The sequence below is a fragment of the Homo sapiens genome, chromosome 3, assembly GCF_000001405.40.
Source record: "Homo sapiens chromosome 3, GRCh38.p14 Primary Assembly".
Classification (NCBI taxonomy): Eukaryota; Metazoa; Chordata; class Mammalia; order Primates; family Hominidae; genus Homo; species Homo sapiens.
In genome coordinates this window covers 183,648,268-183,662,746 of record NC_000003.12, presented here as the reverse complement: position 1 = coordinate 183,662,746, position 14,479 = coordinate 183,648,268, and the positions used below count along the sequence as shown (strand labels likewise).

At 38.3% G+C, this 14,479-nt stretch overlaps 1 protein-coding gene across 28 annotated transcripts in view; it reads right to left on the bottom strand.

Moving 5' to 3' along the window:
* The window catches only part of KLHL24 (kelch like family member 24), a 48,897-nt gene that overhangs the window by 21,773 nt on the left and 12,645 nt on the right, over positions 1-14,479 (bottom strand). For 26 of the 28 annotated variants that reach the window (NR_146170.1, NR_146169.1, XM_047448371.1 and 23 more), the window contains one exon: positions 11,471-12,451. Coding sequence is in view for 26 of the 28 variants with exons in the window: in XM_047448371.1 (XP_047304327.1) it covers positions 11,471-12,390 (920 nt within the window). In the remaining 2 variants the exon portion in view is untranslated. Of the gene's footprint in view, positions 1-8,657; positions 8,781-11,470; positions 12,452-14,479 lie in introns of all 28 variants that reach the window. The other 2 variants (NM_001349428.1, NM_001349429.1) reach the window with 1 other exon arrangement.

The following is a 14,479-nucleotide window of genomic DNA, read 5'->3' as shown; positions in this document are numbered from 1 at the left end:
ATTTCTATCATTACAAATTTCCAAACCAATAATGAGCCTGAGCTATTTTTAGAATGCAAAAAACAGCATTTAACACCACTAAAAGAATTCTAATGTTTCTGTTAATCACTGGCTTCTCTCATTTTTTAGATTTAAAATAGAGACAGGAATAACCAAAAGCTTATCCACAATTTTTTGTTCATAAAATTCAATTGATAGTTTAGGAATTTTAAAATTCTTTAGCTTTTATATTTTTCACAAATATAATCTAAATGAAAATGTTTTATAGTTACATTTTATGGTTGCTACAAGTTAAGTCTCACAAAGAAAAATGCCAACAATCCTTCTTCTCTTACTTATAGAGGGGAAAAAAAAACCCACATCAGGACACTGATTTGTAATTTTAGTCAGTGTGCTGTTACACAATTACAGTAGGAAAAAACAAGCAATATTGGCGTGTCTCTTTTAACAGAGCTGTTCTAGCTACATTTACTCAGACCTATGTCAACTAACCAAATCACGTACCTATTCTATGCCAGGCATACTTTTTCCGTTATAAAATCAGAAATAAATATGGGAGAAAAGAATTTTCTCTATACATGCAAACAAAAGTACTTTTAGGAATCCAGGAAATTATATAACCTTTACCTAGTATTTAGTAAAACATTAACAGAAGGACCTAAATATTATCAGTAATATTTACTATTTTCCAAGTAATTCCAAAATAAAAGTATTAAAAATAAAGAGAGCACAGCACCAGATACTTTAGTAGTATAACTACTGACTTATCTATCATTCTTTCCATATAAGTATTTCCTAAAACACACTTAAAATCTAAGACAAATCCTCAAAAAAGGTGATATTCCTCAAAGTCTTATTTATTAATCAATCAAAACAAACACTGCTAGTCACTGAAGTTAAATCACTTCTGTCTTAATATAAAATCCAGAGTAATGATTATATATCATAGGATTTTGTTTTATCCTTTCCTTATTGTACATTACTTGGTTTATACTTTCCCTTTGCTTAAACTCGCTTGCCTTTTTCAAGACTTCTTAGCCCAATAAACATATGTTATCTGTTTTTGTACTTTGGAACAGAAAGAGAAAACAGCATGAGAAGCTAATTGCTAAAACATTTAGTACCAATAAATAAAGGGTAACTTCAATGTCTGCTAGAATGTGTGTCTATCTGAAAGGATTAGCAAGCTAGTAGTTTTGCCTGTATTAAATATCCTATTTGCAACCAAATGGTTTTTAGCTTAATTAGATATATCTGATGTTCTCATCACGGACTGTTAACCCAATAAAAGCATTATTTCTTGAGCTTGGAGAAATACTTATCTCAGGCAGGGAGCTAATGGCCTTAAAGGAAATAGGTTACTCCAGCTGATAATGGCAAGTAAAACAAAATGGCAGGAAAGATGATAGTATAGCATAAATAAAATTCTGGACACCCATGTAATCTATTTCTAGAGAGTGAATGCCATGTCACTCTATTTCATTAATTCTTTTTTTGTTTTTCTTTCAAATAGAGACAAGGTCTTACTCTATTGCCAAGGCTGGAGTGCAGTGGCGAGATTGTGGCTCACTGCAACTCCAACTCCTGGCTGAAGTGAGCCTCTCACCTCAGCCTCCCAGGTAGTCGGGACTACAGGCACATGCCACCACATCTAGTGAATTTTTTTTTTTTTTTTTTTTTTTGAGACGGAGTCTCGCTCTGTCGCCCAGGCTGGAGTGCGGTGGCGCAATCTCGGCTCACTGCAAGCTCCGCCTCCCGGGTTCACGCCATTCTCCTGCCTCAGCCTCCCAAGTAGCTGGGACTACAGGAGCCCGCCACCACGCCCGGCTAATTGCTTTTGTATTTTTAGTAGAGACAGGGTTTCACTGTGTTAGCCTCCTAACACGTGGTTTCGATCTCCTGACCTCATGATCCACCCGCCTCGGCCTCCCAAAGTGCTGGTATTACAGGCGTGAGCTGCGGCTCCCGGCCAGATCTTTTAAACTTGGTGAGGACACAGTATCAATTTGTGTGGTAAGGCTTTCCACCTGAAATGGCAATAGGTAGGACTGCTTCTATATGAAAATGGCTATATTGATCAAAAGACGCAAAATGCCAACTTTTCAAAATTGGCAATTATCTAAGAATTTATCATCAGAAACTAATCACAGACATGCTTAAATATGTAGCCACCAAAGATGCTCATCTTACTTAATGGTAGAAAATTAAAAACAAATGTTGGGAAGGGTGGGTTATGGAATACTCATGTTATGGAAAGACACCATATACTAACTGGTAAAAACAGACTATGAAATAGATTACAACCCTGTAAATGAAATAATAAATTCATACAGAAAAAAAGAGAGAATACTTTGGTAGGCTAAAACAGGGGGAGGATCACTTGAGCCCAGGGGTTTGAGACCAGCCTAAGCAACACAGTGAGATCCTGTCTCTATAAAAAATACAAAAATTAGTCAGGCATGGTGGCGTGCCTATAGTCCCAGCTACTCAGGAGGCTGAGGTGGGAAAATCCCTTGAGCCAGGGAAGTCTTAAGCTGCAACAAGCCATGATCGTGCCACTGCACTCTAGGCTGGGTGACAGAGGGAGACCTTGTCTCAAAAAAAAAAAAAAAAAAGAAAGAAAAACGCCAAAGGTTTACAATGTTACCTCTTCGAGCTGAAAATTTGCTAATTTGTTAATTAGCATTTTTTGCTTCTCCCATTCTCTAAATTTTCTCCAATTAACATATTGCTCCTTTCCTACCCTGCTGCAAGTTAAGAAAGAACAAAAGAAAAAAAAACACCACCACCACCTTACTATTAACGGTTGCTATTGGGCATCTGCTCAACCTAGCACAGGATGGGATTTTCAGTCATCACATTTCTGCTATGTGATTCTGCTCCCATGACCATAGGTAAATATCCACAAAATGTTGTCTGGCTACATCAGAGATTATGTCTCCCCAAGAGAAGGAGAGATTCATTCTCTCTGACTGACTGAACTTGTAATATGTCAACCCCAAACCTATGTGTTTCTGCCACATATATTATTCTGCCAGACTAATGGGAGGGAATGATGCAGACATGCAGAGAAAAGCAGAGGCAAGAGGTAGAGAGAAGGCACAGCTTGGTTTCTGATAGCTTTTTAGTAGCCTGTTCCAGTCTTCTTTGAGGTCTTATTGAATTTTTGCTCTTACGTCCTACAAGACACTGATTCTCGTATCCTTTTCTTCCTTGAGACGGAGTCTCACTCTGTTGCTCAAGCTGGAGTACAGTGACACGATCTTGCAATCTCTGCCTCTTCCCGGGTTCAAGCCATTCTCCTGCCTCAGTCTCTGCAGCAGCTGGGATTATAGGCATGCACCACCATGCCCAGCTAATTTTTGTATTTTTAATAGAGACGGGGTTTCACCATGTTGGTCAGGCTGGTCTCGAACTCCTGACCTCAAGTGATCCACCCATCTCGGCCTCCCAAATTGCTGGGATTACAGGTAGGTGTGAGCCACTGTGCCTGGCCTCTTGTATCCTGTTAATAAATTTCCCTTTTATGCTTGAGCTGGTGAGTTTGTTTCTATTTGCAATCAGAATTTGGATACATTAGAGTTCAATGGATTGCAGAAAAAAATCAACAACCTACAAATGGCTTTCAAACTCAGGAAAAGATGCTCAATCATCTACACTAAAAAAGTAAATGCACACTTTGGGAGACCAAGGTGGGAGGATCACTTGAGCCCAGGAGTTTGAGACCAGCATGAGCAACAAAGTGAGACTCTGTCTCTACAAAAAATAAATAATAATTAGCAGGGCATGGTGACCCATGCCTGTAGTTCCAGCTACTCGAGAGAGAGGCTGAGGCAGGAGGTTTGCTGGAGTCTGTGAGATTGAGGCTGCAGTGAGCTACGACTGTGTCACTGTACTCCAGCTTGGGCGACCAGAGCGAGAACCTGAAAAAAAAAAATGGGAGGAAGGAAGGAAATGTAAATGAAAATTATGAGATACCACTTTCACTTTGCAGAGTAGCAAAGATTTACAAAAACTAATGTAAACAAATTATATTGGCAAAGGAGTGCAGAAGTAGGCACTTTCATATTTTTGTTGAAGTATAAATTGAAAGGCAATTTTTATAATATCTGTAAAGATTTAAAATGCACATATCCTATGACTGAGCAAGTCTACTTCCAGTAATTCAAACTATAAATTAACAGTGTATGTATGCAAAGATAATGTACAAGAATATTCACTAAGTATCACTTGCAATGGCAAAAAAATGAATTAGAAGCAACCTAAATATCCATAAAGAGATTGATTAAATAAAATAAATTATGGTATATCCATAAATAGGATACCATATAGCTCTTTCAAAAGAACAAGTTTGAAATGTTCTATAATAGTAATAATAATGAGATCTATGTGTGATGATACAGAACAGTTTCCAAGATACTGTTAAGTGGGAAATGCAAGGTGCAGAACTGTGAGTGCTGTACCCTACTATCTGCATAAAAGAAGTAGGGAGGCATTCATCTACAACTATGCAAAGAATTTTTTTTTTTTTTTTGAGACAGAGTCTCGCTCTGTCATCCAGGCTAGAGTGCAATGGTGCGATCTCAGCTCACTGCAACCTCTGAGTCCTGGGTTCAAGCAATTCTCCAGCCTCAGCCTCCCAAGTAGCTGTGATTACAGGTGTCCACCACCACACCCAGCTAATTTTTGTATTTTTAGTAGAGACGGGGTTTCACCATGTTGGTCAGGCTGGTCTCGAACTCCAGACCTCAGGTGATCTGCCCACCTCGGCCTCCCAAAGTGCTAGGATTACAGGCGTGAGCCACCATGCCCAGCTATACAAAGAATACTTCTAAAAGAGGTTCAAAAAACTAGTAATAAAGGTATCCTTTGAAAGCAGAATCAATGGTTCTCTGAAGGGTTAAGAAGAGGGAGATTTACAATGTATACTCTTTATGTAAAAATATTTGAGTTCAAAACAATGAATTCAAACAATTCAATGAGTTCAAAACAATGAACAATAAATGGTAGGCTACTCATCCTATAATATAGGAGAATAGTATTCTTCAGTGGGATTGGAATAGGAATTCAGAACACTAACTTCTAGCCCTGGCTGTGGTTCTAACTAGCTTTGTGACTAGGAGCAAGTGAGTTAACTGTGCCTCAGTTTTATCACCTGCAAAATATGGAATGAAGGGATTTATTAAATAATGACAAACACCATTTCTTAAGGAAAAATATATTTAGAACTCCTTGGTCTTCTCATTTGTTTTCAACAGAACTTGAGGCTTGCCCTCATTACGGCCATTAGATTCCTATATTCACTATATAGTAACTGATTATCAGGTAAGAGATAGCAGAAAGAAGAGACAAGTACTTAATGGCTGATTCCAACCTCAAAATGATGAACTTATTAAGTCTTAGCTATGTCTGTTGCTCAGTGGAGTCTGGCAAAGGGCATCAATTTTTTTCATAGACACGAACAACTTGCCATGTATGGTCAATATATCAGAAGACACTTGCCCAGTTTAGTGCCATCCTTGTTTCCTCTTGGGAACCTCATTTTGTAGGCAGCCCAGGCCTACCAAAATGGAAAATTAGCATCTATCAGGGGAAATGACTCTTTCCAGGGAATCATTATGGTAGGTGCTAAGGATGTGGATCAGGACAGGATGCAAAAGCAGCAGCATCAGAACCACACTACCAAGCAATCATGAGTTTAAAAGTTTGATATTTAGGCTGGTATGGGAAATATGGAAATCAGTATTTGGAGTAAAGCAGGGGCAAGAAATGGAAATTAGGTGTACTAGAGATCAGAATCAGATTGTTACGCTTATTTTTTTTTTGTCTTTTTTTTTTTTTCCTTTTTCTGGAGAACGGGGTCTCGCTATATTGCCCAGGCAGGTCTCGAACTCCTGGGCTCAAGCTATCCTCCCGCCTCTTGCCTCCCTGAGAGCTGGGATTACAGGCGTGAGCCACTGCGCCCGGCCCAGAATCAGATTGTTAAACAATAGTCAGGAATGTGAAACATCAGTCAGGGACCACAGAGTAAATATCAGTTTATTCATGAATTGGGATGAGGTTGGGGCACAGAGGCCCATCACAAGCAGAAAGGTAAGTTACTTTTCTCCAGATGAAAAGGGTTGAAGCCTAGCACTTAGCATACTGAGATGGCACATAAAGGTAACTCAAGTATTTATTAGATGAAATTTAAGACCTGTTTAAGTTAGCTACCATATTAATTCTCTACAGAGTTCAAAAGTATTTCTGAGCCCAAACATGCATCTAAGTATTAATATGAACTTTTTCTACCTCAAATGTTTTCCATACTAATATTAAACTTTTGACCTAGAAACAAGTTTCAAAATTATGTTGGGGAGTCAGGAAGAGGGCCGAAGGAAGAAAGGAGGAAAGAGAGGAAATTATGAATGCTACGGGTGGTTTGGCATGGTGGCTCATGCCTGTAATCCTAGCACTTTGGGAAGCCAAGGAGGGAGGATCTCTTGAGCCCAGGAGTTCAGGACAAGCCTGAGCAACATGGGGAAACCCCATTTCTACAAAAAATAAGCCAGGGATGGTGATGTACACCTGTAGTCCCAGCTACTTGGGAGGCTAAGGTGGGAGAATCACCTGAGCCTAGGCTCAGTGAGCCATGATGGCACCACTACACACCAGTCTGAGTAACAGAGTGAGACCCTGTCTCAGAAAAAAAAAAAAAAAAAAAAAAAAAGATGCTAAGGGCACTCTGAATAAAGGCAGAGGATGTAGTGCAGTTATATAATATCAGCATTTTTGCAGAATGTCAATTTTTAAAATTTTAATTAATAATAATTTTTTTTTAAAGGAGTCTCTCTCTGTTGCCAGGCTGGAGTACAGTGGCGCGATCTCGGCTCACTGCAATCTCTGCCTCCCAGGTTCAAGTGATTCCCCTGCCTCAGCCTCCTCAGCCTCCCGAGTAGATGGGACTACAGGCACGCTCCACCATGTCTGCTAATTTTTTGCATTTTAGTAGAGATGGGGTTTCACCATGTTGGCCAGGATGGTCTCAATCTCCTGACTTAGTGATCTGCCCGCCTCGGCCTCCCAAAGTGCTGAGATTACAGGTGTGAGACACTGCACCTGGCCAGTAGAATTTTTTTGAGTCAGGGTATTGCTCTGCCACCCAGGCTGGAATGCAGTGGCCTGCTCATGGCTCACTGTAACCCCAAACTCCTAGGCTCAAGTGATCCTCTTGCCTCAACCTCCCAAGCAGCTGGGACTACAGGTACATGCTACAATGCCTAGCTAATTTTTTCTTTTTTTTCTGTAGGAACAGGGTGTCATTATGTTGCCCAGACTGGTCTTAAACTCCTGGGCTCAAGCAACCCCCATGCCTTGGCCTCCCAAAGTGCTTGATTACAGGTGTGAGCTACCACACCTGGCCTACAGCCATTGTTTCTAAGCTTTACTCCTTCTGTGATTAGTCTCTACTGTTTTTTCCACACACCTAAGGGTTTACAACTGGCAGGGCAGATTATCAAAGCTTTCGTGCTCTTAAATTGGCCTATGTCCTCTTTCTGGGAAACTACCACCACACTGTTTTTAATATAATGCATTTTCGGGATTTCTCTGTCATTTAAGAGACACGTGGGTATATAGGGAGAATTTCTATTATGGGTTGAGCTCTGGACAATACTTGGCACAGAATAGATACTAAAGGAACACTGGCTGATATAGAGCATATAACTTAACCGTACATTGGAGGGATCAGACTGCCACCACCCTAAACCAGAGTTAATCTCTGCATCACTAATGGTGGGATACCCAGATATGCTGTGACTCCTAATATGATGCAATATATTATACACATTACATAGGATTAATTCTAGCTATAAATATTTAACTTATATTCATCTAACTGAAGCTCATAGAACCAACTTCCAGTTTCCAGGAAACACAGCTAAATGATGCCATAAGGAAGCAATGAGACTGATCCAAAAGGTAGAATATTTTTCTGGACAACTTCCCCATTGACAAGTCAGAATCATAAAAAAGAAACTGTTTTGAAGTAAAAGAGATTTCACAGAAATAACCTGATGTAATGACTAATCCTAGCTTGGATCCAGGTTTATTAAAGAACAGTTTGGAAGACTGGGGGAGTCTGAATACAGATTGCGTATTAGATAATATGAATTATTATTATTAAGTTTAAATGTGCTAATGTTATTTTGCCTGTTATTTTAAAAAGATGCACAGTCAACTAAAAAACATATATAAAAATTTAAAAAGAAATATATACATGCAATAAAAAATAAATAAGATATATAAAATTTGAAAAAGAAATATAAATGAATGAATGAAAGAGAAAAGTCTGGGCTGGTTTGGTAGTCAACAGCATGCATGGTAATTAAAACCATGAAAATAGATGAGATAAGGTCACCTAGGCAAGTACATAAGGGAAGACAAAGAGATGTGAATCAGGCAGATAATATTTCAGACTAGATGTAGGAGTAAGAACCATTAAATTGAAAAAGAGCAACTGGAGAAATAGGAGGACCAAGAGGAGAATGGCATTCCAGAAGCCAATGGAGGTATTTCAAGATGGATAAGGCAATTAATAATATCAAATTCGAAAGAGCTCAAGCTGGATAAAGACCGAAGAGAGGCTAGCAAATAACAAATAGAAGGTCAGTGATGACCTGATTGAGAGGAGTTTCAGTAGAGTGACTGGAGCAGAAGTCAGAGGAATGAACTGCTGTCGAAGAAGTGGAGACATCACTCCTCTTTCAAAGAAGTTTGGAGTTTCTCAGAAAGATGAGAACCTGTACAAATAATACACATTGTTCAGATAATGAAATTCCTAGTGATTAATGCCAACATGTTGTGGCAATCAGGAGACTGGAGAGGTCACTGGGTGAAACAGGAGGATTTATTTAGGCGGCCACCAACTCAGCAGATCAACATCCAAAGTCCAGCTGGAGCTATAACATTATCTGCAAAACCAGGCAAAGGCCCCCAAAAAATGGGTTCCAAAAGCAAGTATGAGAAAAACAAGTTCTTATCAGTCTCCCCCTAAAATTCTCTCCCCATACCATCATTCTTTGTTCTGCTCTCATTAATTAGTTTTGTAACTATTTTTACAAGTTTGCAAAGGTTTTATACGTTCCTGTTTTTCTCTCTGTAACACAGCAAAGTCACAAAACATGCCTAAATTGCAAAAACCTGTCACAGTATAATTAACTGCCTTTGTTCTGCTTCTGCAAGCCTGGTTTCCCCGCCCTGCAAATTTTGCGCCACTGGCTAGCCACTCCACTTCAGCAGCATAAATAAAAGTCAAGCCCTGTCTTTGTTCATTGCTCAGCCTTTAGATGTTAATCCACTAAGTTGGTGGCCACCTAAATAAAATCCTTCTGTTTCACCCAGTGGTCTCTCCAGTCTCCTAATTCCCACAGCAAACATGCAGTAACAGATAAGTGAAAGATAAATGTAAGGGACAGAAGGTGATAGCAGAGTTATAAAATAAAGGATTACTCATGTAATGCCCACATAAAATAAATATCTGCTATCGTATTTTTAAGAGTCTGCAAATTCAACAGAACTATAGTTTGGTTTTTATACTTGTCTCTTAAAGAACGGTGATACTGCAATTTATAAATAGATGTTTCACTGTGGAAATAGATTTGTTCCCTTAAAAATTGGATATAAAATACATTTTTGGAAATCAAATAATTAAGTAAGTTAGGAGAAGTATCTCTTCAAAGGAGTGATGGGACCCTTAGGCTGCAATCTGATTGCATTCAAATTATGTCTTTATAAATATTAGTAATCAATGTCTTATTTTGATTTTACAACATATAACCCTTGGTTCCTACTCTAATCCTATGAGATATGCAGGCTGAGTATTATTAGCCACATCTGACCTCAGACCATTCAGTCTGCTACAGGGGTATTTGTCTTGGAAAAAGGAGTGATTTTCCCTTTAGAGGGATACTGTGTGTTCATGAAAGTTCTCGAAGAACTAATAGTCACACAGCTCTGAAGCTGTTTAGTTTTCTTAATTAATACATTATTCAAACTAGTATAAATTTTAAAAACAAGCTATCTCACAGTATGCTGACTTTTAACATTCCGAAACAATGATAGTCAAAATTTAAGTAAAAATGTGGTTTATGAGCTATGCTATAGTAAATTCACAGAAAAAATGGAGATGGCTTAATAATAAACCAATAATAAACTAATAAAAATACTAGTTTCACAACAATGTAAATATACTTAACATTACTGAAATGTATAATTAAAAATGATTAAGACAGTAAAGTTTATGTTATGTGTTTTTTACCACAATTAAAAAAAAACCAACACCAACATTAGCTTTGTTAGAAAAATATTAAAAGGATTAAAAGGATAATTTACTGTAATATTTCTCATAACAAGCATTTCTTGCTTATTCACAATAAATATTCCTTCCACTATTAAGGCATGGAGATTATTTTTCTATAGTTTATGAATTAAAATCGATAAGTATTTTATAGAAATAATATACTGGAAGAAGATACAAATATGCTACAATATTTAACTGCATTCTACCCCCTAAGCACACATTTTCCAAATTCTCTATAATGATGATGTAATTTTCACATTCAGAAAAAAGATTTTTTAAAATTGAGATTGACATTAAATATAATAACTGTGACAATTAAGTAATATTTGAGGCCTGGATTTTACATCTCAGAATTCACTCAATGTATACCAGCTTATTTAATTCACCTCTATATTTCATGCTTCTGTGTTAGGACAAAGGCCAGTCTGTGGATGTGCAAACATTTTTTTTTCTTTTTTTTTTGAGACAGAGTCTCACTCTGTTGCCCAGGCTGGAGAGCAGTAAGAGCATGGCTCACAGCATCCTCAAACTCCTGGGCTCAAGCAGTCCTCCCACCTCAACCTTCTGAGTAACTGGGACTACAGGTCCGTGCCACCATGCCTGGCTAATTATTTTTAGTAGCGATGAGGTCTCGCTATGTTGCCCAGGCTGGTCTCGAACTCCTGAGCTCAAGCGCTCCTCCACCTTGGCCTCCCAAAGTACTGGGATTATAGGTGTGAGCCCCTGTGCCCAGGAGCAAATTGTTTTTTTATAAGTAGAGGCAGTCCAAGAGAGCCTACTAAAATCTTAGCTACCCTGTATCCAAAGACTCTTTGGAAAGAAAAGTGGAATGGTTTGGGGCCCTACAAAGGTTAAGAGAAATTAGTAGAAATATGTTGAGATATGCACAGTTGCAAAGACCCTTTGCTACACTGTTTGATAGCACAAAACAACAATAACAAAAAATGCTACTGTTGAATCTAGAATTCACTAGGAAAGACATTCTAGTGACATATAATCCAAAATAAATCTAAAATTATATACAGCCACAGGTAGACAGTGCATATAAATGACAACACTGAGATTGCATTCAGGAGGTTTAAAGATATATTAAAAACTTTTGTTAACTATATTTGAAAACAGTCTTCTCACCTGCGTGGCCTAGTCCTTGGGGACATCATTTCATTCCCAAGTATGTGGTACCGTCTTGCTTCATGCAACAACTGATAACACTCAGGAGAATTCTGGATCAATTGGTCCACTTCAACTGTTTGAACAAAGTAGTTGGGATGCAACAGAGGGAGTCTCACATGTGTCAGGAGCTCGTGTAACAGTGGTCTTCTCAGATCAACGGCACGATAGACCCAACGCATGACGGCTTCAAAAACCATCTCCTCTTTACCAATAACAAGTTCATCACTACAAATATAATCAATAAGTTCATCTTTGTCAAGCTCAAGAAATTCTTCGTGCTGGGATACATCCTCAAAAGTCTGTAACGCAAAATTTTTGCATTTTGTGAAGAGTGTTTTGAGTGAATGGGTATCAGCAAAGCGCTGGATTCCTAAGCAATTACAAGGATCAAGTTGCTCCTCCAAGAACTTGGCACATGCATCACGGAGAACACTAATCTGAAAGAGGCTTGATGTCTCAAAGAGATACTGTACATTCTCTGTAGTGATCTTCACCTTTCCAGTATAAACATACTGCAAAAAACATTCCATAGCTTCAGCTAAAATACCATTGATCTCAACCAACATTTCTCGGCTTTCCCTGTGGTCATTACAAAACATAGCTCTGAAGTAGCTGCTACAGGCTGAGAGCACAGCTCTATGGCAAGGAAATTCTTTTCCTTCCACACAAATGATAACATCTGTGAATAAGCGGCTATCACGAAATTCATTAAATATCTGGAGTATGTTTTCGGCATGGGATGATCCTGAAGAGAAGTCAAAAAACTCATGACCTGTCAGAGATTTGGGGTCCATTTCAAAAACTTTTCGCTTAGTTGCTGGGGAATCACGCACCCCAAGATCCTCTCTGTTTAGTCTGCGTCCCAATATTAGTACCATTGTTACATCAGTTGACTATATAATTGTTGAGAAATGACTATTAGGGATCTTCTTTATGTGGCTAAAAGTAAAAAAAGGAAAACATTTCAATATGCAAAAAATTCAGTATTCAAATCACATAATTTCATTTTAATATAAACACTACAACAAAATCACATAATATATTTCATATAGGGTACACAGCACTATCTCATGTTAATAAAAACTAATCAACAAAAATTTGCATTTGAACAATTAGAACATTGGGGTAATTTGCAATAGTACTCCTTAAGCTCCCCTTTTCTAGCTGAAAGGATACTATGTACTTCGTGAGTTACTAATAACCTTCCGTTTCCTCCCCATTTACAGAGCTGAGTTTCATACTATTGACTGTAGAGTTAAGTCAGAATGGTGTAAGACACAATTTGACTACAGTTAGAATTCTAACAGTTATCTTTCTTTTTAAGAATCTTTTTTATTTTGAGACAGGGTCTCACTCTGTCACCAAGTTTGGAGTAAAGTGACATGATCATAGCTCACTGTAACCTCAAACTCCTAGGCTCAAGCGATCTTCCTGCCTCAGCCTCCTGAGTAGCTGTGACTATGTGTGCGTACCACCATGCCTGGCTATTTTTTTTTTTACTTTTTGTAGAGATGGGATCTTGAACTCCTGGCCTCAAGCGATCCTCTCACCTCAGCCTCTCAAAGTACTGGGATTACAGGCATGAGCCACCATGCCTGGTGAAATAATTATTATCTTAATATAGAATTCCTAGAGAGGAATTTAGCTATATCTATCAATAGCCTTTAAAAATATGTACATTGTTTGACCAGCAAGTCCTTTTTTTTTTTTTAGCACTCTCTCCTAAGGAAATAATCAGAATTATGTCGACAGATTTATCTATGCAGATGTCCAATGCTGTATTGATAGAAAATACTCAAAATAACCTAAATGCCCTATAAGAGGGGATTGGTCAAACCACAGTACATCTTCTGGCTAGAACAAAGTCTATGCAACCATTAAAAATTATATATGACTATTTAACGACATGGGGAAGTAGTAACCACACAGTAAGTGAAAAAGTAGATCACAAAACATATGCCAACAGAAAAAATAATGTATCTGTGAATCTAGGGATAGGATGTACATATGCTAAAATGTTTTATTTATCTTCTCTATTTTCTACCAAAATTTCTATTATAAAATTTAATATTCATTTAAAAAAATTTCATGCATGTTATCTAGGTCTTGTTCCCTTTCACTAATAAGAAACATCCCAAAACCCCCTCAGAAATGACTTTCAGTAAGTAACTGATGGATTGAGGCACTTGGCTATAGCCATCAATTCTCTCTCTGTGTCTCTTTTTTTTTTTGGAAACAAGGTCTCATTCTGTCACCCAGGCTGAAGTGCAATGGCGCGATCTTGACTCACTGCAATCTCCACCTCCTAGGTTCAAGGGATTCTGCTACCTCAGCCTCCCGAGTAGCTGGGACTACAGGCACGTACCCACCACACCCGGCTAATTTTTGTATTTTTGGTAGAGAAGGGGTTTTGCCATGTTGCCCAGGCTGGTCTTGAACTCCTGGCCTCAAGGGATCTGCCCACCTTGGCCTCCCAAAGTGCTGGAATTATAGGTATGAGGCATGGTGCCCAGCCCAATTCTCTTTAAGGTTAATTTTAAGGCGATTCTTCTACTCCCTTTCCACATCTTCAGAAGCTGATACATGATTCAAAGTGTATTAGTAATTGGTTTAAGATCACTCAGGGTACCTCATCTATTGCCATACTCTCAGAATTTCATACACATCCCTTCTACCATTCCCAACTTCTTGAAATATTTCAAGTCAGACATTCAGGCCTAAGACTGGCAAGCAAAAAGAAGTCAGCTAAAGGATGTCACAGATAATATAATCTAAAAAATGAGATGCCATCCTACATTCGCAAGCCACAAATAAAACTGAGACTTGAAAGTTAACATCTTAAGGCTGCATTTTGTGTACCCTGTCGCATATTAAATTGTACCCCACTTTTTAAGTGACACAAAGGGAAATAAAATACGTAACATCAAAATCAAGAAGCAACTCATTCTCTTATATATAGTATTCTCT